The sequence below is a fragment of the Homo sapiens genome, chromosome 8 (assembly GCF_000001405.40).
Source record: "Homo sapiens chromosome 8, GRCh38.p14 Primary Assembly".
Taxonomy (NCBI): domain Eukaryota; kingdom Metazoa; phylum Chordata; class Mammalia; order Primates; family Hominidae; genus Homo; species Homo sapiens.
This window is the reverse complement of record NC_000008.11, coordinates 687,093-709,196: the sequence shown is the minus strand read 5'-3', so window position 1 is coordinate 709,196 and position 22,104 is coordinate 687,093. Positions and strand designations below refer to the sequence as shown.

The 22,104-nt window shown below is 51.5% G+C and overlaps 1 protein-coding gene and 1 long non-coding RNA gene across 30 annotated transcripts in view, besides 3 other annotated features; both read left to right on the top strand.

Annotated features, from left to right (window-relative positions):
* Window positions 1-22,104, top strand: part of ERICH1 (glutamate rich 1) — a 116,479-nt gene that overhangs the window by 22,028 nt on the left and 72,347 nt on the right. For all 29 annotated transcript variants that reach the window (XR_007060715.1, XR_007060714.1, XR_007060710.1 and 26 more), the window contains exon 3: window positions 16,585-16,719. Coding sequence is in view for 17 of the 29 variants with exons in the window: in XM_047421403.1 (XP_047277359.1) it covers window positions 16,585-16,719 (135 nt within the window). In the remaining 12 variants the exon portion in view is untranslated. The remainder of the gene's footprint in view (window positions 1-16,584; window positions 16,720-22,104) is intronic.
* Window positions 10,699-11,218: an enhancer, noted in NCBI's record as "H3K4me1 hESC enhancer chr8:647979-648498 (GRCh37/hg19 assembly coordinates)". NCBI's record gives its function as "activates a minimal SCP1, AML or CMV promoter by ChIP-STARR-seq in primed H9 embryonic stem cells {active_cell/tissue: H9 hESC(primed)}" and the evidence as "EXISTENCE:reporter gene assay evidence [ECO:0000049][PMID:30033119]".
* Window positions 11,557-15,922, top strand: LOC124902054 (uncharacterized). Its single transcript, XR_007061163.1, has 2 exons — window positions 11,557-12,207; window positions 14,264-15,922. It is a non-coding gene; the product is annotated as an uncharacterized LOC124902054 (long non-coding RNA).
* Window positions 20,864-21,518: an enhancer, noted in NCBI's record as "H3K27ac-H3K4me1 hESC enhancer chr8:637679-638333 (GRCh37/hg19 assembly coordinates)". NCBI's record gives its function as "activates a minimal SCP1, AML or CMV promoter by ChIP-STARR-seq in naive H9 embryonic stem cells {active_cell/tissue: H9 hESC(naive)}" and the evidence as "EXISTENCE:reporter gene assay evidence [ECO:0000049][PMID:30033119]".
* Window positions 21,025-21,284: a silencer, noted in NCBI's record as "silent region_18879". NCBI's record gives its function as "represses an Ori minimal core promoter by ATAC-STARR-seq in GM12878 lymphoblastoid cells {active_cell/tissue: GM12878}" and the evidence as "EXISTENCE:reporter gene assay evidence [ECO:0000049][PMID:35858748]".

The window sequence follows — 22,104 nt, the reverse complement described above, 5'->3', positions numbered from 1 at the left end:
AATTTGTGATGATCAGGTCGTGTCACAAGGGCAGAGATAGATAAGGCTGCACCCCAGAAAGGTAACCTCAAATTTACCATTTCAAATCAACCAATTCAAAGTATACAATTTACTGCTTTTTAGTATATTGACACTGTTGTACAACCATTCCATTACCACCATCTAATTCCAGAATATTCTTACCACACCAAAAAGAAACACTTGGCCGGGCAAAGTGGCTCACCCTGTTATCACAGCACTTTGGGAGGCTGAGGTGGGTGGATCACTTGAGCTTAGGAGTTGGAGACCAGCCTGGGCAACATGGCGAGTCACCCATCTCTAGCAAAAAGTACAAAAATTAGCCAGGTATGATGATGTACACCTATATCGCAGCTACTCAAGAGGCTGAGGTGGGAGGGTCACTTGAGCCTGAGAAGACAAGACTTCAGTGAGCCAAGACTGTGCCACTGCACTCCAGCCTAGACAATGCAGTGAGACCCTGTCTCAAAAAAAAAAAAAAAAAAAAAAAAAAAAAACTCATTATCCCGTAACCACTCAGCCCCCATTCCCCACTCCCTCTAGCCTCTGGAAACCACTAATCTGTTTTCTTTATAGATTTGTCTGTTCTGGACATGTCATATAAATGGAATCATGCAACATATGACCCTTTGTGTCTGGGTTTTTTCATGTAGCATAATTTTTTAAAGGTTCATTCATGTTGTAGCATGGGTCAGAACTAACTTTCTTTTTTAAGGCTGAATAATATTCCACTGTATGAATAGACCACATTTTGTTTCTCCATTCATCAGTTGATGAATGTTTGGTTGTTTCTCCTTTTTAGCTATTGTCAGTAACATTGCTATGAGAATCCATGCACATGTTCTTGTGTGGCCTGGTGTGGACGTATGTTTTCGATTCTCTTGAGTTTATACTTAGGAGTGGAAATGCAGGGTCAAATGGTAACTCCATGTTTAACTTTTTCAGAAACTGCCGGACTCTTGTCCACAGCAGCTGAACCATATTACATGTCCACCAGCATTGTACAAAGGTTCTAGTTTCTCTACATGCTCACTAACACTTATTTTCTATTTTTTTTTTTAGATAATAGCCACCCTAGGAGGTGTGAAGTGGTATCTCATTGTGGTTTTCCATTTTTCTGATGACTGAGAATGTTGAGCATCTTTCCCTGCGTGTTGTCCATTTGTGTATCTTCTTTAGAGAAATATCTGCTTACGTCCTTTGCCCAGTTTTAATTGGATTGTCTTTCTGTTGCTGAGTTGTCGGAATTGGTTGTACATCCTCCATACTGAGTCCTCATCAGATACCTGATTTGCGAATATTTTCTTCCATACCATGAGTTATCTTTTCACTTTCTTAATGGTATCCTTTAAAGCCCCAAAGTTTTTAATTTTGATAAAGTCCAATTTATCTATTTTTTCTTTTGTTGCCTGTGTTTTTTATATCATATTTAAGACATCATTGCCTAATCAAAGGCCACAAAGATTTATGCCTAGGTTTTCTTCTAAGAGTTTTATAGTTTTAGCACTTATGTGTAGGTCCTTGATCCGTTTTCAGCTGATGTTGTGTATGGTGTGAGGTAGAGTTCCAACTTCATTCCTTTGCATGTGGATATCCAATTGTCTTAACACCAGTTGTGGAAGACATCATTTCCCCATCAAGTGGACTTAGCACTCATTGAAAATCAGTTGGCAGCCAGGTGCGGTGGCTCACACCTGTAGTCCCAGCACTTTGGAGGCTGAGGTGGATGGATCACTTGAGGTCAGGAGTTCGAGACCAGCCTGGCCAACGTGGTGAAACCCCATCTCTACTAAAAATACAAAAATTATTCAGGCATGGTGGCAGGTACCTGTAGTCCCAGCTACCTGGGAGGCTGACGCAGTAGAGTCGCTTGAACCCGGGAGGCAGAGGTTGCAGTGAGCCAAGATCGCATCATTGCACTCCAGCCTGGGTGATAGAGTGATACTCTGTCTAAAAAAAAAAAAAAAAAAGAAACAAAAAAAATCAGTTGGCCACAGATGTGGGGTTTATTTCTGGACTCTCAATTCTATTCCATTGATGTATGTCCATCCCATGTCTGTACCATCCACCATCTTGTTTTGATTGCTGTAGCTGTGTACTAAGTTTTGAATTGAGAAGTGTGGGTCCCTCAACTTTGTTCTTTTTCAAGACTCAGGGTCTCTTGCAATTCCATATTAATGTTAGGATCAGCATGTCAATTTCTGCAAAAAAAAATCATTTGAAATTTTGATGGGTATTGCATGAGTTTGTAGAACACTGGGCAGTATTGTCTTCTTAACACTATTACATTGTCCAGTCCCTAGCTTTAGGATGTCTTTTTGTTTATTTAAGTTCTTTTTAATTTCTTTCAACCATCTTTTGTAGTTTTCAGAGTGCAGTTTTATCTTTTTGTTGTTGTTGTTGTTTTTGAGATGGAGTTTCACTCTTGTTGCCCAGGCTAGAGTACAATGGCATGATCTTGGCTCACCACAACCTCCGCCTCCTGGGTTTAAGCAGTTCTCCAGCCTGAGTAGCTGGGATTACATGCGTGTGCCACCACGTCCGACTAATTTTTTTTGTATTTTTTTAGTAGAGATGGGGTTTCTCCATGTTCGTCAGGCTGGTCTCGAACTCCCGACCTCAGGTGATCCGCCCACCTCAGCCTTCCAAAGTGCTGGGATTACAGGCGTGAGCCACTGCGCCTGGCCTTATCTTTTTTTATATTTTTCCTTCCAGTACTTACAGGACGTAGAAAAGTTTTACCGTTTTTTAAAAAGTGTATTCCAAAGTATTTTATTCTTTTTGGTGCTATTGTAAGTGGAATTGCTTTCTTTTTTGTTTGTTTTCTTTTGGGAATGTTCAGTGTTTGTCTGTGAAAATGCAAGGGATTTTGTGTATTGACCTTGTATCCTGCGGTTTTGCCTAACTAGTTTATTAGCTCTTACATTTTTGTTGTGGATTTCTTAGATTTTCTATGTACAGTCACACATCACTTAACAACGGTAATACATTCCAAAGGAGTCCATTGCTGTGTGAGCAAAGTGCGCTTACACACACTAGACAGTGGATCCAGCTGCAGGCCTGGGCTGTGTGGCACAGCCTGTTGCTCCCAGGCTGCTCGCCCAATCAGTACATGCCTGTGCTGAAGACAGTGGCAACTGTAACACCATGGTGAGTGTTCATGCATCCAAACATTAAGAAGGTGCGGTGAAAATACAGCGTTATCATCTTCAGGGTCCGCCGTCCTATATGCAGCCAGCCTTTCAGCATCCAAACATTAAAAACGTACGGTGAAAGTGCAGTGTTACCATCTTCAGGGTCCGCATTATCTTAAGGCTCCACCGTCCCCCATGCGGCCAGCCTTTCACCAGTGTCTTTTGTGGTACATCACTGTGCAAGATGCTGTCATCTGTGATTTCGGGTAGTTTTACTTTTTCCTTTGTGAGTAAAGATAGTTGTACTTTCCCTGTCCAGTCTGGATGCCCTTTGCTTCCTTTTGTTGTTGTTGTTGTTGACTAATTGCCCTGGCTAGAAGTTCTAATACGATGTTGACAAAAAGTGCCGTGAGTGGGAATCCTGGTCTCATTCCTGATCTTGAGGAGAAAGCATCCCTGTTTTCACCATCCTGTATGATGTTAGCTGTGGGTTTCATACGTGGCCTTTATCATGTTGAAGAAGTTCCCTTCTATGCCCAGTTTATTGATTTTTTTTTAATCATGAACAACATATTTTTGAAGTGCTGTGCCTTGGAAATGTTAAAGGAAAAATGTTATAATTTACTTGCATCTGGAAAAAGAGAAGTCTTGGCCGGGGGTAAAATGATGAAATCACAATAAAAAACGTAAGAACCGTGGGTCACTTCTGCACGGGCCATCGCGCAGTGTCCGTTGAGATGCACGTCCAGGAGGAGTCCTGCTGGATATCAGGGCTGGGCCGAGTGGCGCTCTGTGAGGGACAGGAGGCAGCCGGATGAGGAACAGTGCCCACATCCGTCCTTGGACATGAGACGGAGGAAAATGTTCTTGTACGGTTAGGTCAAAGCATGGTAATTATGGCAATGATTTAGCCAATTGATTGATATTTGTTCACTTCACACGATCTGTTTCTTTGGTTCTAGAAGAGTGTTGATAATTCCATTTGTCCCAAAGATAAGACTGATTTGTCAACAACCAAAATAACTGGTGTATGTGCATTTTGGTAAACTTTTTTCACTGAAGAGCCCATATTGAACTTTTTTTTAAATTTGTCAGTTATGTGTTGCATATATTTTAGATTCAAATAATTCTCAGGAATTATTATTAAAAACAGCAATGTTCTGCCCATCACTCCAGTCACACACCCTCCAGCTCTGCAGTGGCTGCTCCTGGGTAAAACCACCCCCCCTTTCAGAGTCACGCACTTACACTGTTGCTTCCTGTTTTCTTCTTCTTTTTCTTTCTTTTTTGGCAGGGAGGGAAGGGATTAAATCTTATGTATTGACTTTGGAAACTAAGGATTTTGGTTTTTTTTAGCAGCTTCCCCCACCATGGATGCACATTTTTTACAACCCCCGTCCTTCCAATATGATTTTTTCAAAATGTTTGTACATCAGTATTGTTTACATGTTTATGTCTCCGTAAACACCGTTTCTTGCTGAGTCACATAACACACGATTATTCCGTTTTGTGAAACCTTTAGTGGAGTGAGCAGAGCTTTAGTAGAGTTAATAGTTTTCTTGGATTTTTACATTTTCTTCTAAATACTTAATAGTACTAATTTCTCCCCTCACCTCCCTGTCCTTGTTCTATGGTCAGACACATTCAGGGTCAATGAGCTTCATCTTCCGTGGCCTCTTCCAGACTGTTCCACCCCCAGCATGGGCCGCCCCCAAGTCCTTGCCGTAACTCCCGGTCTCACCTCTCCCGGGGGCTTCCTTTGCTGTCCTGGGCCTCAGTCTTTTCATTTCTTGGGTTTGCTTCCATTTTGTTGAAATGCGTTCGTTAGTAACTTCCTGAAAAATGGTTTTTGGGAGATAAATATTTTAGAGATCTTGAAGGTCAAGTATACCTTAATTCTTGTACTTAAAAGTTTTTCGGGGTGTAGGATTCTGGGCTAATAACTGTCTTTCACACTGGAAGTCTTTAACATCCAGTGTCGCTGTGAGAAGGCAGTTGCCATCATTCTCGATTCCTGTGGCTATGAGCAGTTTTCCTCCCTTAGGACAGTTTGAGGTTCTGCTTCTGGCCTTCATGTGGGTGCAGCCTGATGCTGAGGTCTTGAGCATGGTCTGTTTTCATCTGTCGTGGCCTCCGTAGTCTGGGAACATGTGCCACTCTCTTGTTTCCTTGATCGTTTCCTCCTCTTTGCTTTCAATCTTCGGTTTACAGAATTCCTGTCATTCAGACATTGAGTCTCCCAATAGATCCCCTTTTTCTTACATCTTCTCCCGGATTTTTTATGGTTTAGTGATTTGAGACCACTTTCTGGGAGATTTTCTCAAATTTCATCTTCCACCCTTCCGGCTGCACCCTTCGTTTTTGTCACTGCGTCTCAGAGTTGGAGCGGGAAGGAGGAGAAGAAGGGTCTCTCACACTCTCTATGGACAGGCTCTCCCTCCCTGTTTATCTTATGGAGTCTTTGCCTTCAGTTATGGTGCCTGGGGCTCCTGGGAGCCAGGCCTGGCCTTTGCAGAGAGTGAGTCCCGGTCTCCCACGGGTGGTGGGGAGGCTTCCACAGCCTGCCTGCCCCCCTTTTTCTCCCCACTTCCAGGCTCCTTGGCGGCCCCTCTGGAGCAGATCTCGTGTCTGCTGTGTCTCGGCTGCCATTCTAGGATTCAGCATCCCGTCTACTTTTCACTTTCCAACACTGTATTTTTTTCATCTGTCCTTCATTTGTCCTCTGTGTGTTGCAAACCCACTTATTCTCATTTTGGTGGGGCCTTAGGAGGAGGATGGGGTGTGTGCACTTGGTCTGTCCTGCACCTTCATCTGTATCTTACTGACGTGCCATTAACAGATAGGATGGGTTCATTTCTGTGCATTTGGCTGTGCTGAACTGCATTTCCCACAGTTCCCTCCCCGAATGCTCCTGGTTACAGGGGGACACGAGAGGCCCTTCTGCCTGAAATTCGGAAGGTGGACGTAAGCCCTTTTAGTTTCCAGCTCCTGGAGGTGAAAGCTCACGCAGCTCATGTGCATTGTTGCAGACTTGCTGCCTGCCTGGGTGGTGTGGGCAGTTCTGGGCCTCCGGCTCTCTGCAGCTTCTTGGGCCCTCCTTCAGCTAACCCCAGGCGTGCGGGGTACCTGTCCTGGGTAGGACACCCACTGCTACCCTCAGCAGCAAGGACGGAGACAGGCTTCCATCTGGTTCCCGGGGCATCCAGCTCTCGCTCCTGCCTTCTGGCTTCCGCCCTGCCCCTCTGCGTCCATCACCAAGGCTGTGCTGGCCGAAAGGGTCCACTTTGGCGGGTCTTGGCAGTTAGCTGAGGGCACCAGTGTCGCTCCCACACAACATGCAAACCCTCCTGCCGAGCTGCGACCTTCGCCTGTCACGGAACCTGGTGCTGAGTGTGGTGAGAGTGAATCCTGCAGCACGTGGCGCACTGTCGGCCTCTTTCATGTTTAGCTTTTGATTGTGCTTATTGTCCATTTGTATTTCTTCTTCTAAGTGTCTGTTCAAGACTTTTCCGTCTTGGCTGGAGGTGGGAGGTGCCTGCTCCTGTGTTTTCTGGCATCTTTCTCTGCTGTCTTTGTGTGTCTGCACTCAGGGAGTTTCCCTGGGGTGTGTGCCTAGAGAGGTGCTGGTTGTACATTTCAACGTAGGGACAGATTCCCAGCGTGTCTTTAAAGGAGCTGTGCCGCTGTGTGCTCACTTGACTCGCCGGCGTTCTTGTTTCTCCAGGCCCCGGTTAATACAGAGTGTTTGCAGTCTCGCTAATTGAGTGTGAGGTTTCTGTTTCTTATTCAATGCACGCTACCAAGCTAACAAAACTGGACAGCCTTTCACGCCTCCTGGCCATCTGCCTTTGCCCGTGTTTCTGCGGAGCTTGTCTTACCAATTTCCGGGGTTCTTTAGATGCTTCAAAGCCCAGCAAACACCTTCTCTCAGTGGATTGCCTTTCCTTTTTTTTTTTTTTTTTTTTTTTGAGATGTAGTCCCGCTCTGTCACCGAGGCTGGAGTGCAGTGGTGCAATCTTGGCTCACTGCAAGCTCCGCCTCCCAGGTTCAAGCGATTCTCATGCCTCAGCCTCCCGAGTAGCGCCCGCCACCATGCCTGGCTAATTTTTGTATTTTTAGTAGAGACGAGGTTTCACCATGTTGGTCAGGCTGGTCTTGAACTCCTGACCTCTTGATCTGCTTGCCTCAGCCTCCCAAAGTGCTGGGATTACATGCGTGAGCAACCGCGCCTGGCTGCCTTTTCATTTTTAAAAACGTCAGTGTCTTCCATTGTTTAGAAGTTGATATAATGTGACATCATCTTTAATTTCATAGTTTTTGTGTTTTGTTTAAGAAATCTTTATCTAAAATCTACCTCAATAACAAAGATATTTTACGCTTTTTTGCAAAAAAATACACGTATCATAGACAGTGTTTGCTCTTGCAGTTGTTGTCTGGTGTGAGGTGGTGGTCCGACTCTGTTGCTCACCTGACGCTGCAGTTTCCTCAGCCCTCTGTCCTGGGCCATTCCCTGTGGCAGCGGCTCTGTCCTGGGCCTGCGTCTGTGGCTCAGCCTCCCAGCTGCTCTGGGGTACAGCATGCTCCCATCCTACGGCGTGTTCCCATCCAGCAGGGCACACCCGTGGGTAAGGCGTGCTCCCGTCCGGCGGGGCAGACCCGTAGGTATGGCGTGCTCCCGTCCAGCAGGGTAGACCCGTGGGTACGGCGTGCTCCCGTCCAGCAGGGCAGACCCGTAGGTATGGCGTGCTCCCGTCCGGCGGGGCAGACCCGTGGGTACGGCGTGCTCCCGTCCAGCAGGGTAGACCCGTGGGTACGGCGTGCTCCCGTCCAGCAGGGTAGACCCGTGGGTACGGTGTGCTCCCGTCTGGCGGGGCAGACCCGTCCACCTGGTTCTTCTCCAGCCCTTGCTCTGTTCTTCTTGGCCCTTGGCCATGTGTGTTTAAAATCAGGTCAAGTTGCAGCAAAAAAAATCTTGAAAATGTGTTTGCATTTGTGTCACTGGTGGATGATTTGGGGACAATTCACATTGTCCGTGATGCTGCACGCAGCGTGGTTGGCACCTGCACTTCCTCTCGGCTGCTTTTCCTCTGTCATTTTTGGGCCAGATTGCCCTTGTCTTGAGAGCTGGGCTGTGCATTGAAGGTAGGTTTGCTGTGTTTTATCTGGCATTGTTAAGTATTTTTCAGGAGAGTTTTTCCTCTTATCTGCCATCTGGAAGCCTCTGATAAAGGAATATTTTCCCAAGACTCTGAATAGCTGATTAAGAGTCTGTGAAAGACAGCAAACCACATTTGCATGGAGGAGGCCATCCGATGGGGCAGGACCTCCCACCGCTGAGCACCTTTTCCGAGCAGCCACAAGGCAGTGGGACATTTTACTGCACATAAAACAGCTGTGATAAGTTGTAGCTTGGAAGCTGGATAGTGAGGACTGACTGGAGCTGTCAGGCGTGTGCATGTGTGCGGGTCTGTGCGCCTGTGCGGGCCTGTGCGCGTGTGCGGGCCTGTGCGCCTGTGCGGGCCTGTGCGCCTGTGCGGGCCTGTGCGCGTGTGCGGGCCTGTGCGCCTGTGCGGGTCTGTGCGCCTGTGCGGGTCTGTGGCCTGTGAGGGCCTGTGCGCGTCTGCGGGCCTGTGCGCCTGTGCGGGCCTGTGCGCGTGTGCGGGCCTGTGCGCCTGTGCGGGCCTGTGCGCGTGTGCGGATCTGTGCGCGTGTGCGGGCCTGTGCGCGTGTGCGGGTCTGTGCGCGTGTCCGGGCCTGTGCGGGTCTGTGCGCCTGTGCGGGCCTGTGCGCGTGTGCGGGCCTGTGCGGGCCTGTGCGCGTGTGCGGGTGTGTGCGCCTGTGCCGGCCTGTGCGCGTGTGCGGGCCTGTGCGGGCCTGTGCGCGTGTGCGGGTCTGTGCGCCTGTGCGGGTCTGTGCGCCTGTGAGGGTGTGTGCGCGTGTGCGGGTCTGTGCGCGTGTGCGGGTCTGTGCGCCTGTGAGGGCCTGTGCGCGTGTGCGGGCCTGTGCGCCTGTGAGGGTCTGTGCGCGTGTGCGGGTCTGTGCGCCTGTGAGGGTCTGTGCGCGTGTGCGGGTCTGTGCGCGTGTGCGGGCCTGTGCGCGTGTGCGGGTCTGTGCGCCTGTGCGGGCCTGTGCGCCTGTGCGGGTCTGTGCGCGTGTGCGGATCTGTGCGCCTGTGAGGGTCTGTGCGCGTGTGCGGGTCTGTGCGCCTGTGCGGGTCTGTGCGCTTGTGCGGATCTGTGCGCGTGTGCGGGTCTGTGCGCGTGTGCGGGTCTGTGCGGCTGTGTGAGTGTGCACGTGTGCGTGTCTGTGCGCCTGTGAGTCTGTGCACGTGTGCGGGTCTGTGCGCCTGTGTGAGTCTGTGCACGTGTGCGGGTCTGTACGTGCTCCTGTGTGTGCTTTCACGCGCGTGTTGAGATCTTGGATGCTGGAGCTTGTTTAAATATGATGAAAATAGGAGGGAAATGAAGCCGTCCTCCTTCTCTGGAACGCCTGCTTTTGTGAGTCGCCGTCACCCTGAGGGGTGGGGAGGGTCTGGGTGCGGCGCCCAGCGGAGATACCAGGCAGCATTGTTGTGCTCGTGCTTGTCCTTGGATTTTACACTGATTTCACTTGAAGTTGCTGTGATTGTGGCCTCGCATTGATACAGATCTAATTACTTGAAATGTCGTGGTACCAGGAGAGAAGAAGGCCGCTGGGACAGCAATCGGGGGTGGCGTCCACTCTTCTGTCCAGCCCTCTGGTGGGGCTGGCGCTCCCCCCGGTAGCATTTTGCCAGTTATCCATGCAGGTGGGAAATACCTTTTTCTTTCGTTCCTGATGATAACCAGCCTTACACATCTCGTATCAGGGTAACTGTGACCATATTGTAGAATGGAGCCAAATGCACGGGGAGTTTCTGAGCTGATATTTAGTGGGTTTGGGGGGTTTTTTGAGACAGGGTTTCCCTGTGTTGCGCAGGCCGTAGTGCGGTGCTCTTTTCAGGCATGGTCCTGGCACCCACGGCCCTGAGCTCCTGGGCTCCACTGAGCCTCCCGCCACAGCTGAGCCGAGACTTTGGAGCACGCACAGCAGTTGTGCTTGGCACTTGCAGTTCCCCTGCAGGATGATCCTGGAGAGCCTCCCTGGTTAAAAAAAAAAAAAAAAAACTCACAGAGACAACCATAGGATGCTACTTCGTGGCATCCTACCTGAGGAGGACGGAGGTGCACCGTGAGCCCTGGTTTTGCCTCCAGCACTTTTTCCAGCAAAATGGACAAAAGACTTTTCAGGCCAAACACAGTGACTCACGCCTGTAATCCTAGCACTTTAGGAGGCCAAGGAGGGAGGATTGCTTGAGCCCAGGAGCTCTAGACAGTGAGCCATGATCGCATCATTGCATTCTAACCTGTGCAACAGAGTGAGACCCTGTCTCTAAAAGAATTTTTTAAAAATGTTTTTCAGAAGTGTGTAATTTTTCAATGACCACCTTGTCATTGAGAATTGAGGAAAATGAATACTCATAAATTGCTGGCAGGAATGTAATTCAGGGCCGGGCACGGTGGCTCTCACCTGTAATCCCAGCACTTTAGGAGGCCGAGGCAGGAGGATCACTTGAGGTCAGGAGTTCAAGACGACCTTGGGTAACATGGTGAAACCCTGTCTCTACTAAAAGTACAAAAATTATCTGGGCGTGGTGGTGCACACCTGTAGTCCCAGGTACTCGGGAGACTGAGGAATGAGAGTCGCTGGAACCTGGGAGGCAGAAGTTGCAGTGAGCGGAGATCGAGCCGCTGCACTCCAGCCTGGGTGACAGAGTGAGACTCCACCTCAAAAAAAAAAAAAGAAAAGGAATATGATTTAGGATGGCCTTTCTGGAGGGTAGTTTACAGGATGCATTAAAATACTAAAGCGTTCTGTCTTTGGCTGTATGTTAAATTGACTCAGATCCACAACCCCTGCACGGGGGCAGGCGGCGGGCGCAGAGCGCATGCCTCCACCTCCTCCTCTCTACACCCACCCCCGGGTCCGAGGGCTCCATGTCACAGGTACACGCCGGTGGCCCCCGTGAGCTCTCCAACCTGGGCCCAGCCCCAGACGCAGGGATTTGTGTCCCTTGCAGCCCATCAGGCAGCTGCCTCATTCCCCACAACAAAGCTCCTGGTCCCTACACTCCTCGTCTCAGGGATGGCCTCTCCCAGGGGCTCAAGCCCAGGTCACCCCACACCTATCACGCACTCTGCTGTGTCTCTCAGACCCACGTGCTGCTGCTGCTGCATGTCCCGAATCTGCTCAGGGAAAACCTGCTGTGCTGACAGCTGAAGTCCCTCCCCTCTTGAGAGGGGCGCCTGTGTGGGTGGCTGAGGGGGCGGGGGCGGGGGCTGTGTGGTTCCACAAGGACTGTGCGGGGTGGGCAGAGGCAGGGAGACCAAAATGGCGAAGAGCTGGTAGAACCTGCCCTGACCCCTCACCCACCCTCAGGCCTCCAGCTCCGTGCCAGGTGAGGGGACGATTTGACAGGGAGGCAGGAGGAGGGGTCGCCTGGGGCTGGGGACCTGCAGGCCTGTCACTGGGAGTCTGAGCCAAGCTTCTTTCTGGGCACCCTGGCAGCACCCCTGAGGTGTGGGCATGCAGCAGGATGACGGAGTTGCATCGTGGGCCCTGGTTTTGCCTCCAGCACTTTTTCCTGCCGATTCAGTTGCTCGTGGGGTCGGCGTTGCACCGGCTTCTCCATCGCTGTTCAGAGAAGAGACAAGCCCAAGCCTGTGCCTGCGCTGGCAGGAGGCTGGAGAGTGAGTGGTGTCCGCCTTGTCCCCTGGGGCCATTTGCAGCTGTCAGGATGGACGGGAGCCTCAGCACCAAGACAGGCCATGGGTGAAAAGCAAGAGGCCACGAGAGTTCGCTGCTGGATTCATTTCAAAGACAGAGGAAAGAAGAATATGTGTCCATCTGTGTATATACAGAGAGCCCTGCTAGCACGTGCAGCAAGTGGTAAGGCCAGCTGCCTCCTGGGAGGGAAGTCACCCTGAGGACAGGAGATCCCCACCGAGGGCTCCAAAAGGAAGGAGCGGAGTGGAGGGTAAGAGGAGCAAGCACAGGTGCAGGCTGATGGGGAGGAAGGAGTGGAGGGTGAGAGAAGCGAGTACAGGCTGATGGGGAGGAAGGAGAGGGAGGGTGTGAGGAGCGCGCACAGGCTGATGGGGAGGAAGGAGAGGGAGAGAGGGTGAGAGGAGCGAGCGCAGGCTGATGGGGAGGAAGGAGAGGAGTGGAGGGTGAGAGGAGCGAGCGCAGGCTGATGGGGAGGAAGGAGAGGAGTGGAGGGTGAGAGGAGCGAGCGCAGGCTGATGGGGAGGAAGGAGAGGAGTGGAGAAGGAGAAGAGTGGAGGGTGAGGAGCGAGCGCAGGCTGATGGGGAGGAAGGAGAGGAGTGGAGGGTGAGAGGAGCGAGCGCAGGCTGATGGGGAGGAAGGAGTGGAGGGTAAGAGGAGCGAGTACAGGCTGATGGGGAGGAAGGAGAGGGAGGGTGTGAGGAGCGCGCACAGGCTGATGGGGAGGAAGGAGAGGGAGAGAGGGTGAGAGGAGCGAGCGCAGGCTGATGGGGAGGAAGGAGAGGAGTGGAGGGTGAGAGGAGCGAGTGCAGGCTGATGGGGAGGAAGGAGAGGAGTGGAGAAGGAGAAGAGTGGAGGGTGAGGAGCGAGCGCAGGCTGATGGGGAGGAAGGAGAGGAGTGGAGGGTGAGAGGAGCGAGCGCAGGCTGATGGGGAGGAAGGAGAGGAGTGAAGGGTGAGAGGAGCGAGCGCAGGCTGATGGGGAGGAAGGAGAGGAGTGGAGGGTGAGAGGAGCCAGCACAGGCGCAGGCTGATGGGGAGGAAGGAGAGGAGTGGAGGGTGAGAGGAGCGAGTGCAGGCTGATGGGGAGGAAGGAGAGGAGTGGAGGGTGAGAGGAGCCAGCACAGGTGCAGGCTGATGGGGAGGAGGGAGAGGAAGGGAGGGTGAGAGGAGCCAGCACAGGCGCAGGTTGATGGGGAGGAAGGAGAGGAGTGGAGGGTGAGAGGAGCCAGCACAGGCGCAGGCTGATGGGGAGGAAGGAGAGGAGTGGAGGGTGAGAGGAGCGAGTGCAGGCTGATGGGGAGGAAGGAGAGGAGTGGAGGGTGAGAGGAGCGAGTGCAGGCTGATGGGGAGGAAGGAGAGGAGTGGAGGGTGAGAGGAGCGAGCACAGGTGCAGGCTGATGGGGAGGGAGGAGAGGAAGGGAGGGTGAGAGGAGCCAGCACAGGTGCAGGTTGATGGGGAGGAAGGAGAGGAGTGGAGGGTGAGAGGAGCCAGCACAGGCGCAGGCTGATGGGGAGGAAGTAGAGGAGTGGAGGGCGAGAGGAGCAAGCACAGGTGCAGGCTGATGGGGAGGAAGGAGAGGAGTGGAGGGCGAGAGGAGCAAGCACAGGTGCAGGCTGATGGGGAGGAAGGAGAGGAGTGGAGGGCGAGAGGAGCCAGCACAGGCGCAGGCTGATGGGGAGGAAGGAGAGGAGTGGAGGGCGAGAGGAGCAAGCACAGGTGCAGGCTGATGGGGAGGAAGGAGAGGAGAGGGAGGGAGGCGGGAGCTGCTGTGCTCTCTCAGAGGCAGGGATGGCTGGCCTCTGCCAGGTGAGCGGCGTAAGGATCTGTGTCAGATGCAGGTTTTGCTCACAGCCGTCATGGTGTGCAGGTACCTGTGGCAGTCTTCTCTGATTTCTTTATTTTCCTGGTGAAGCAAGGGCAAGGGCTGTGGGGAGAGGGAGGCGGAGCTTTGAAAGATGGTGGGAGAGCCAGGAGGGAACGGATGAGGGTCCCTTCCGCACAGGGCTGGGTGGTACCCAGTGCTCACCTGAAGTGGGCCAGGGGCTGGCTGTGAGCCCCTCCATAGCTGTCGGCTGCCAGGAGCAGCCCAGAGGAGCTGAGGGGAACCTGACGGGGAGAAAGGAGCCAGGTCAATGACACCTGCGAAGAGGTGACACTGGTGAAACCCACAGGGCAGCCAACCGCCTATCACCCTAGGGCTCCGAGCCACCACGCCCCTCTGCCTTTCCCGAGGGATGCTGGTGCTTGTGACTTGTCCAGCAGGGAGGTGGGTTTCTGACTGCCCCTCTCTGACCCTGACTCTTAGATGCCAGGTCCAGGGCAGCTGTGCTCACAGACGCTGCATTCTCTGTGCGTCCGGCGGAGGAGATGATGGGACGGGGAACTCTCGCTGCCGCCCACCCCATAAAGTGTAACCGGTCTCTTCCTTGCACCTGATCAAGACATGTAACGTTCAACTTGTGCAAGGCGTAAGTGTCCTCACAGTAAACCATACATTACCCAAAAGAATATAAAAAGTTAGAACCAGAAGGTATTATGGGTTACATGGTCACCGTGATTCACAGACGAGCAAGCCGTGAGGCCCCTCGTGGTGCTCCTGTCTGCGTGGTGCCTGTGACTGTCGCAGGAGGTGCCACTTGCGGCTTAGAAGTGCAGCCCTGGCCCGCGGTCACCCCACAGACCGGAACTGTCTCCCTGGCGCGGTGCGTTTTGGACCCGTCCTCTTAGCTGCATCCTTGTTTGCTCTGCATGAGTCATTGAGTGTTCCCTGATCCCTCCCGTGTCCATCCTAATGATTAAGTGAACAATGACATTTCTAAGTTCTGTTTAACTTTCTTACTAAGAAAGATTTAGCTGATTAAAAGCTTCCAAAAATATTCTGTGAAAAATGATCAAATGTTGATTTACCCAGTAGGGGACAGTGTACTTAGAAGCCATCTCCATCTGCCCTTGGCTCCGGCAGGGAATGACATAGTAATTAATCAGCTGCGGTGAATCAGATTAGTTTAAGAACTAGGATTCCGGCACCCTACCCTCGAGAGAGCAAAGTGTGTTGACTACAGTGGAACCTGAAAAGGCTTCAAGGTTTTTACAGCTACATTCTGTTCTGTGTGGTTGTGATTTTGCTCAATACCTGTCATTGTTGTTTTCAAAATCAAATGCACATCATTTGGTAAAAGCCCAGCTGGGATGTCCACTTGTGTTTGTCACGTGCAAGAGCATCACTGCCATATTCTGCATGAAAAAAGGAAGACTAAACTGACAGAGGCTGCCCAGTGTCGGACAGTTTGAGAGGAAGTGGCCCTGCTACCTTCCAGACAGTGTGCATGAAAAGCGGGCAAAAGCACCTGCCCCCTAAACCAGCAGATCCCTGTGCAGGAACCAAACAGCCACGTGCGCAGAGGGGCGTGCAGCAGGGGACGTCCCAGTAGCCATCCACGGTGGTGATGACCTCTGGTAGAGGGGCACACAGCAGGGGAGGTCCCGTGCGCAGAGGGGCACACAGCAGGGAGGTTCCAGCCGCCGTCCACGGTGGTGATGACTTCTGGTAGAGGGGCACACAGCAGGGAGGTTCCAGCCACCGTCCACGGTGGTGGTGACCTCTGGTAGAGGGGCACACAGCAGGGGAGGTTCCGTATGCAGAGGGGCACACAGCAGGGAGGTCCCAGCAGCTGTCCACGGTGGTAACGACCTCTGGTAGAGGAGCATACAGCGGGGAGGTTCCAGCAGCCGTCTGCAGTGGCGACGACCTCTGGTCAGCTCCACATGGCCATTGAGGAAAGTGGTTAAGTCCTGGTTATAATTCCATCGCATGGGATATGATGTAGCCATTAAAAGTATGCAGATTTAAGTTACAATATGTCATTTTAACACACTGTATTCACTCAATTATATTTTACATGTAAGATACAAATGTATAACTTATATGTGTATAATAATAAAGTATGTGACACGATCTCCTGAAGATGTATGTGTGTCTGTGTGTGCTTGTGTATTTGTGTATCTCTCTGTGTGTCTCTGTACATGTCTGTGTCTGTGTGTGTTTGTTGTCCCTGTGTGTGTGGTCTGTGGCTGTGCATGGTGTCTCTGTGTCTGTTTGTATCTGTGTGTGTCTCTGTGTGTTTTGTGGATGTTTGTGTGTCTGCATGTGTGTCTGTTGTGTGTGTGGCTGTGTGTGCACACAGCCACAGTGTACACATGTTGTTAGCACGTGTGGAGAAAAAGACCCAGAAGTCTGTGCAGTGAAATCCCCAGGGACTCCTCGTGTGATGATAAAGGGTGTGTCGTGCAAACTGTTTATATTTTGCTGCTTTATACTCATGAATTAGTTATGTTTTTGTATTGTGTTACAAAAACCCAGAAGTTTGCATAATAAGTAATTTCATGTGAATTCAAACAATCATGGGCAGTTCCTTTTTCTTGGCTGGGTGTGTAGCTGACCTGCTTTTCTGGCACAATACTTGACATATTAAAATCAGTATTTATGACAGTGGTTAGGTTTTATTGAGCTCTTTGATTTCATGTCTTGAATGAATTTAGAGAAACAATGCCGATGTAATCAAGGCAAATAAATGACTGCATTTTGTGATATTTACCAGTTCCTGTTATTTTCCTCCTGTGTTGCAGACACTGGCTCTGAGACCCCGACTGCCCGACGGCTCTACACTGCCAGCGGGCCTCCTGAGGGCTACGTCCCCTGTTGGCCGGAGCCCAGCAGCTGTGGGAGCCCCGAGAACGCCTCCAGCGGGGATGACACAGAAGGTAAAATGCTGGGTGGGAGGAAAGGTAGACATCTTTGCAGATAAGCTCGTATTTCCCAATTTTCTGGTATTGTAATACCTTTATCTAAATTCATACTTGGGGGGTGGGTGAGCATGTTGTTACACTGTATAATGAACCACATGGTGTACCTTTGTATTTTATAGCCGTGAAAAGTGATGCTTAAAAGACTTGTAATGACAGGAAAAAAGACTTCATATGGAGGAGATTGAAAGTGGGAATATGACTATAGCCCATGTTTGTTAATGCTTTAGGAGTACCCTGGAACTAAATACATATTAAATACCATTAAATAATTGTTAACAGTACTTGTCTTGGTTTAGCAAAATATTATTTTCTTGATTTTCCAAGTTTTTCAGAATTTCTGACATTGTACATCAAATCTGTAATCAAGGAAATACCTTATTTCGAATGTCTTTTGGAAAAAATTATTATAATTCCTATTGTTGTTGCATGTCGTACGAATGAAAGAATATACAATATTCTCTTAATACGGTTGACTGTTGAGCATGGAAAAGCTGAAGTTGCCCATATACTTTTTACCTTAAAAGGGAAATAGTTGTTTTTCACTTCACGTTGATCTTTTTTAAGGTGCACAAGAGGAATTTAGAGTTTTCAAATAAAAGTTGTACCTAGATGATTTGTAACAATATAAACTAAGAAACTCTATATTATAAACATTAATTAATTTGAATATCAACAAAATGTGGTTTTTGACTGCTTTTGTCTTTCTGGCTTCCTAAATTAAAGGATCAGAAACCATAAAAACAAAAATGAGATAACTAAGGAATAATGGATTCATCCTTTCAAGCCCTGTTGAAAATCTTTGAAACACAATTATTAGATAGATAGATTATTTAACTAGAAAATGTGCGTTCTTATGAAGATAAATTCCTCTGGGTGAATATGCTTCATTGCGTACTTAATCTGTCCAAGAAGGAAGTGCGTTGGCCCTCACTCACGCCCTTCCTGTTGTCCGCGGTTGGCGCTCTCGCCCCGTTGTACCGCGTTGTCCATGCTGCTCATGTTCCCAGGACAGGCCTGTGCTGGACCCCAGGGTAGAAGGCTCGCTTGGCCATGAGCCAACACTGCTTCCCAGACAGGCTGTGTCAGGACTGAGCTACAGCAGTGTTCTTACAGGAAGTGGAAAGATACTTGCACCACATAGACAGGCATTTCTCTTCACAAGCTGCTTCTTGAGGACACGTGTCCAGGAGCCCTTGAGGAGTCACTCCTTTCCTGTTGCCCGGGCCCCCTTGCCACCTTCTCCAGGCGCCAGTGACTTGAAATGGTAAAGTTGGGAAAAAGACAGCAAAGCCCACCCTCTAATTGTGTTTCCTACCTTTGTTCTTCAAAATGAAAGAGAAAATGCCCAGAGCAAGCCCCAAGCACAGCCTTGCAGCTGCAGAGCCGATGGAGCCTCCAGGGCCCTCAGGAGCCAGAGGCCAGGAGAAGCAAGGATGGGACCCCTCTCTCTCTGACCCTCCAAGGTCAGTGTGGGAACACGGCACACAAGAAGGAAGAGCCTTTGAGCTTTTTTGGTTGCAGTTTTAAGCACAGAGGTGAGAACTGGAGCTGGAAAAATAACGGCCAACGTTGTTGTCGTGGTCTCTCTTGGAAGCACTCAGGTCACTGGCTTTCATTTTGAACACGTGGGGCCCACACGTCAACTCCCAGGAAGCTGCAGAGGAAAGTGCTGTTTGTTTTTGCCTTTGCTGTGCCTGGCACCAGGCCCCCTGGGCATTCACACTCAGGACCTTGCGCAGCCCTGCTCTGCGCCGGGGCATCCCCACAGCAACTTGGATCGGCCGCCCAGGGCCTTGTCGCCCAGGCAGGGGTGGCATACCTGGTGCTTAGCCCTCAGTCTGGCCCCTCCTGGCTGCCCGGCCTCTGAGACTTGGTTTCCACCCTCCCGGAGGCCATCTAGGCCCCCGCAGCGGCACTTGCTGCGCCCTTGGGTCTGCCGGTCCCGGTTCCAACAGGCTGAGGGCCTGCCCTTTGTCTTGTCCTGGGTACCTGGCTACTGCCTTGTGATAAATGGAGATTTAGTGCTCACTGACCATATCAATTAGGGCCTGTGTGTATTTTTTATGAAGACAGGCAGACCTGTGCCCAAAAGCCAGGACAGGAAGACCTAAGTACCAGCAGTTTGTCTCAGTCTGTCTTGTCTGTGTTCTTTGGGTAATCTCTGAATGTGACAAGCACAGACTGTGGGTGCTTTTGGGCTCACAGCTTGTCAGGAACAGGTGGAAGGAGACGGGCTGTGGGAAGTCTTGAATGGCATTGTGTTGGATGTGGTTCTGGGACCTCTGCCACCTGGGTTAATGGGTCTTGGCTCTAGACAGAAACATGCACGTACTCCTCCTCTTGTTGACGTGGGGTTGCGTCTTGCTCTCCAGAAGCCAGTAAACCTCTGGCCTGTTAGTGACAGAACAACCCACTATAGATTGTGCCAGAAGAAAGTTGTCCTTTTTGGCAGAGTCTCCATGGAAAATGCTACACAGCCACATTTAGCAGGCGAACTCACTTATCTGGCAGGACGCTCTTCTGCTCACGGTCCTGGCGCGTCGTAGGAACACTGCCCTACATGAATTTACAGAGTCTATTACAGTGATGTGGACATTCCTCTGGGCAGCTGGGATAAGCACGTTGTGCTCAAAATACCGCTTACGTCCGTCTTCTCCTGTGTAGACCGCATTACAGGACTCTGGACCCAGCTGACCACTGTGGGGACGCTGGGCACCTTCCCAGCAGCACGACAGTGTGTCCCTATGCCACGGTGCCGGAAACAAGTCCAGCCATGTAATTTTTAGAAGAAAATGTCCGCAGTGCCCCCAACATGCCTCTTCCCTGGGTTTTCCAGTGGCACACAGTGCTGGCAGCTTGCATGGTGGTGCACCTTCCTGCTCCTGCCAGACACCTCCAGGAGGAGACAAGGGGTGTGGGGGCACCGCCAGCATCTGAAAGCCTCGTTCAGGGAACACAGGAATTGATCAGTCCGTTAGGTTTTGGAAATGCTTACCTTACATCAAGTCAAGATCATAGGTGAGGCCAGGCGCAGTGGCTCACGCCTGTAATTCCAGCACTTTGGGAGGCCAAGGCAGGCAGATCACCTGAGGTCAGGAGTTTGAGAACAGCCTGGCCAACATGGCGAAACCCTGTCTCTACTAAAATATAAAAATTAGCCAGGTGTGGTGGCATGTACCTGTAATCCCAGCTACTCGAGACGCTGAGGCCTGAGAATCGCTTGAACTGGGGAGGCGGAGGCCGTGGTGAGCCGAGATCATACCACTGCACTCCAGCCTGGGCAACAGAGCGAGAATTCGCCTCAAAAAAAGAAAAAAAAGATCATACGTGAGCTCTTCACCTAGTTTATATGAGTGTACCTCTCTGGGAAAATATCATCTTGGAGTTTCACTTTTCATATTCATCTTTTATTGCAGATTAATCAAAAGACCTGGAGAGTGTTGGCCTTTTTTCCTTGTTTTTGTAAAACTGTCATTTAAAATCTTGTTCCTTATTCATTGTGCAGTCACTAGCAGTTATGTAAAACTCCAGGTGAAAGGTATTCCCTTTAGAGTTCAGCGCTAGAAAAATATTTTGTTCTTATGAACTCGTGTACTTCTTGTTGGATAAGAGAGAGATTTCCCATCGATACCCTTTTTGCTTTTGCCACCAGGAAGCTCAGATTTCAGCTTTTCATTGTTTTTATTCAGTAGCAGTTGTTTCCTTTGACCTCCAGTTTGTGGTAGTTACTACCTTTCCCCACTTCTCTGCTGCTTAACTCATTCTTCTTAGATTCTTAAAATGGCTTGTTTTCTGAGCTACATCTTTTCCTTTTTGCAAGTACACTGAGTAATCAGGGTTTACCAAGTAATTCACTGAATCAAATGCTTTTTAAACGCTTGTGTTGGGCGGTGTGCTCAGGCCTAAGAAAGGGAAGAGCGCCAGGAGGGCCGTGGCGTTGTAGGAGCTGACCCTAGCTGGGGAGGCTCCTTTGTGAGCCTGGCCTACAGAATGGGCGCGGCGCTAAGGAAGGCCGGAGGGAAGCGGAGCCTGGGCGCCTCTGGAGCCTGCGGAGGGACCGGGGGGCGGGGCCGAGGTGGGGCTAAGCGTAGAGCGGGATGGCGCCGAGGTGGGGTGGCCCGGGGCGGGGCGGCGGAAGGGCCGGGGCGGGGCGGGGACGGGCGGAACTGGGGGCGGGGTGCCGCTTTACCTTTTCTGCGAGAACGTCGGGAAACCTGCGTGGGCGGCTCAGGGGCCTTGCCGTGTCCTGCGCCCCGGCTCGCCACGGCCTTGAGGGCGCACTTGCCCCGCCTGGGTTGCAGACCCTCCCTCCTCTCCTGTCTCCCGTGTTTTTGCAGCCGGGAACTGCATTGGGTGCCTGAGGAATTTGACCGCGCGCCGCCGCGCGTCTCCCCCGCCTTTCCAGGGCCTCGGCGGGAGCTGGGGCTGCGGTCGGGGCTCGGGACCCGGGCAGGTCTCTCGGCGCCTTCTCGCCGCCGGGATGTCCTTGGAGCCTCAGACCCTGCTCGGGAAACCTGGGTGCCGTCTCGGCTGGAAGCCTCGGAGGCCTGCGCCGGTTCCGCGCGCTCCGTTCTCGGGGCGGGACCGCTGCATCCGGGGCCTCTCCGCGCCTCGCCCCCGATTCCTCCGTGGCTGCCCCGTATTCCACCTACTACGGCCTCGGCTAGGGCCCCGCGGGCCTGGCGCGCTCCCCCGGGCGCGGCGGGCACTGGCCGCAGTTCTGCCGACTTCAGCCCTGGGTCCGGTCAGCGCTGCGTCCTGCCTCGCCTGGGCCGCCCGGGCGCTCCCCGCGCGCTGCCTTCCTCCTGCTGCGCTCCACAGGGACCCGCCTCCCTCCAGTCCTGCTCCCTGCGCCGCTGCCTCCCTCCACGGGTTCCCGCCTCTCCCCTGCGCCCCCTCAGCGCGTGGTGTTAGCGGGCCCCTTCTCTGCCCATGGGGTGACAGTCTGGACCCACACGCTTAGCGTTTGTTGTGCCAGACCGTCTGGGCTTATTGCAAAGCTTGTGCAAACGTGAGCGTTGCCGGCTTTTTATTCCCCGAGGAGCCTTATCCTGGCGCCTGGTGGAATTAAGTCTTAAGTCAATATTTGGTGAACTGCGTTGAATGATTATGTATAAAAACAGCCCGTAAGGCAAGTGTTAGTGTTTCCCCGGTTCCTAATCACAAGCGGTGTGAGGCATTGACTCAGATTCTGTGCTCAGATCCAGCTACAGAGTCATGAACATAAGTCATTTCTGTGGAGAGCTGTTGTGATGGTGATTCTAGCAGCAAGCACCAGTTGAAATAGTTACTAACTTCACGGCTTCTGGAAGCATGCAGTAAATGCACAGTTATAATGTG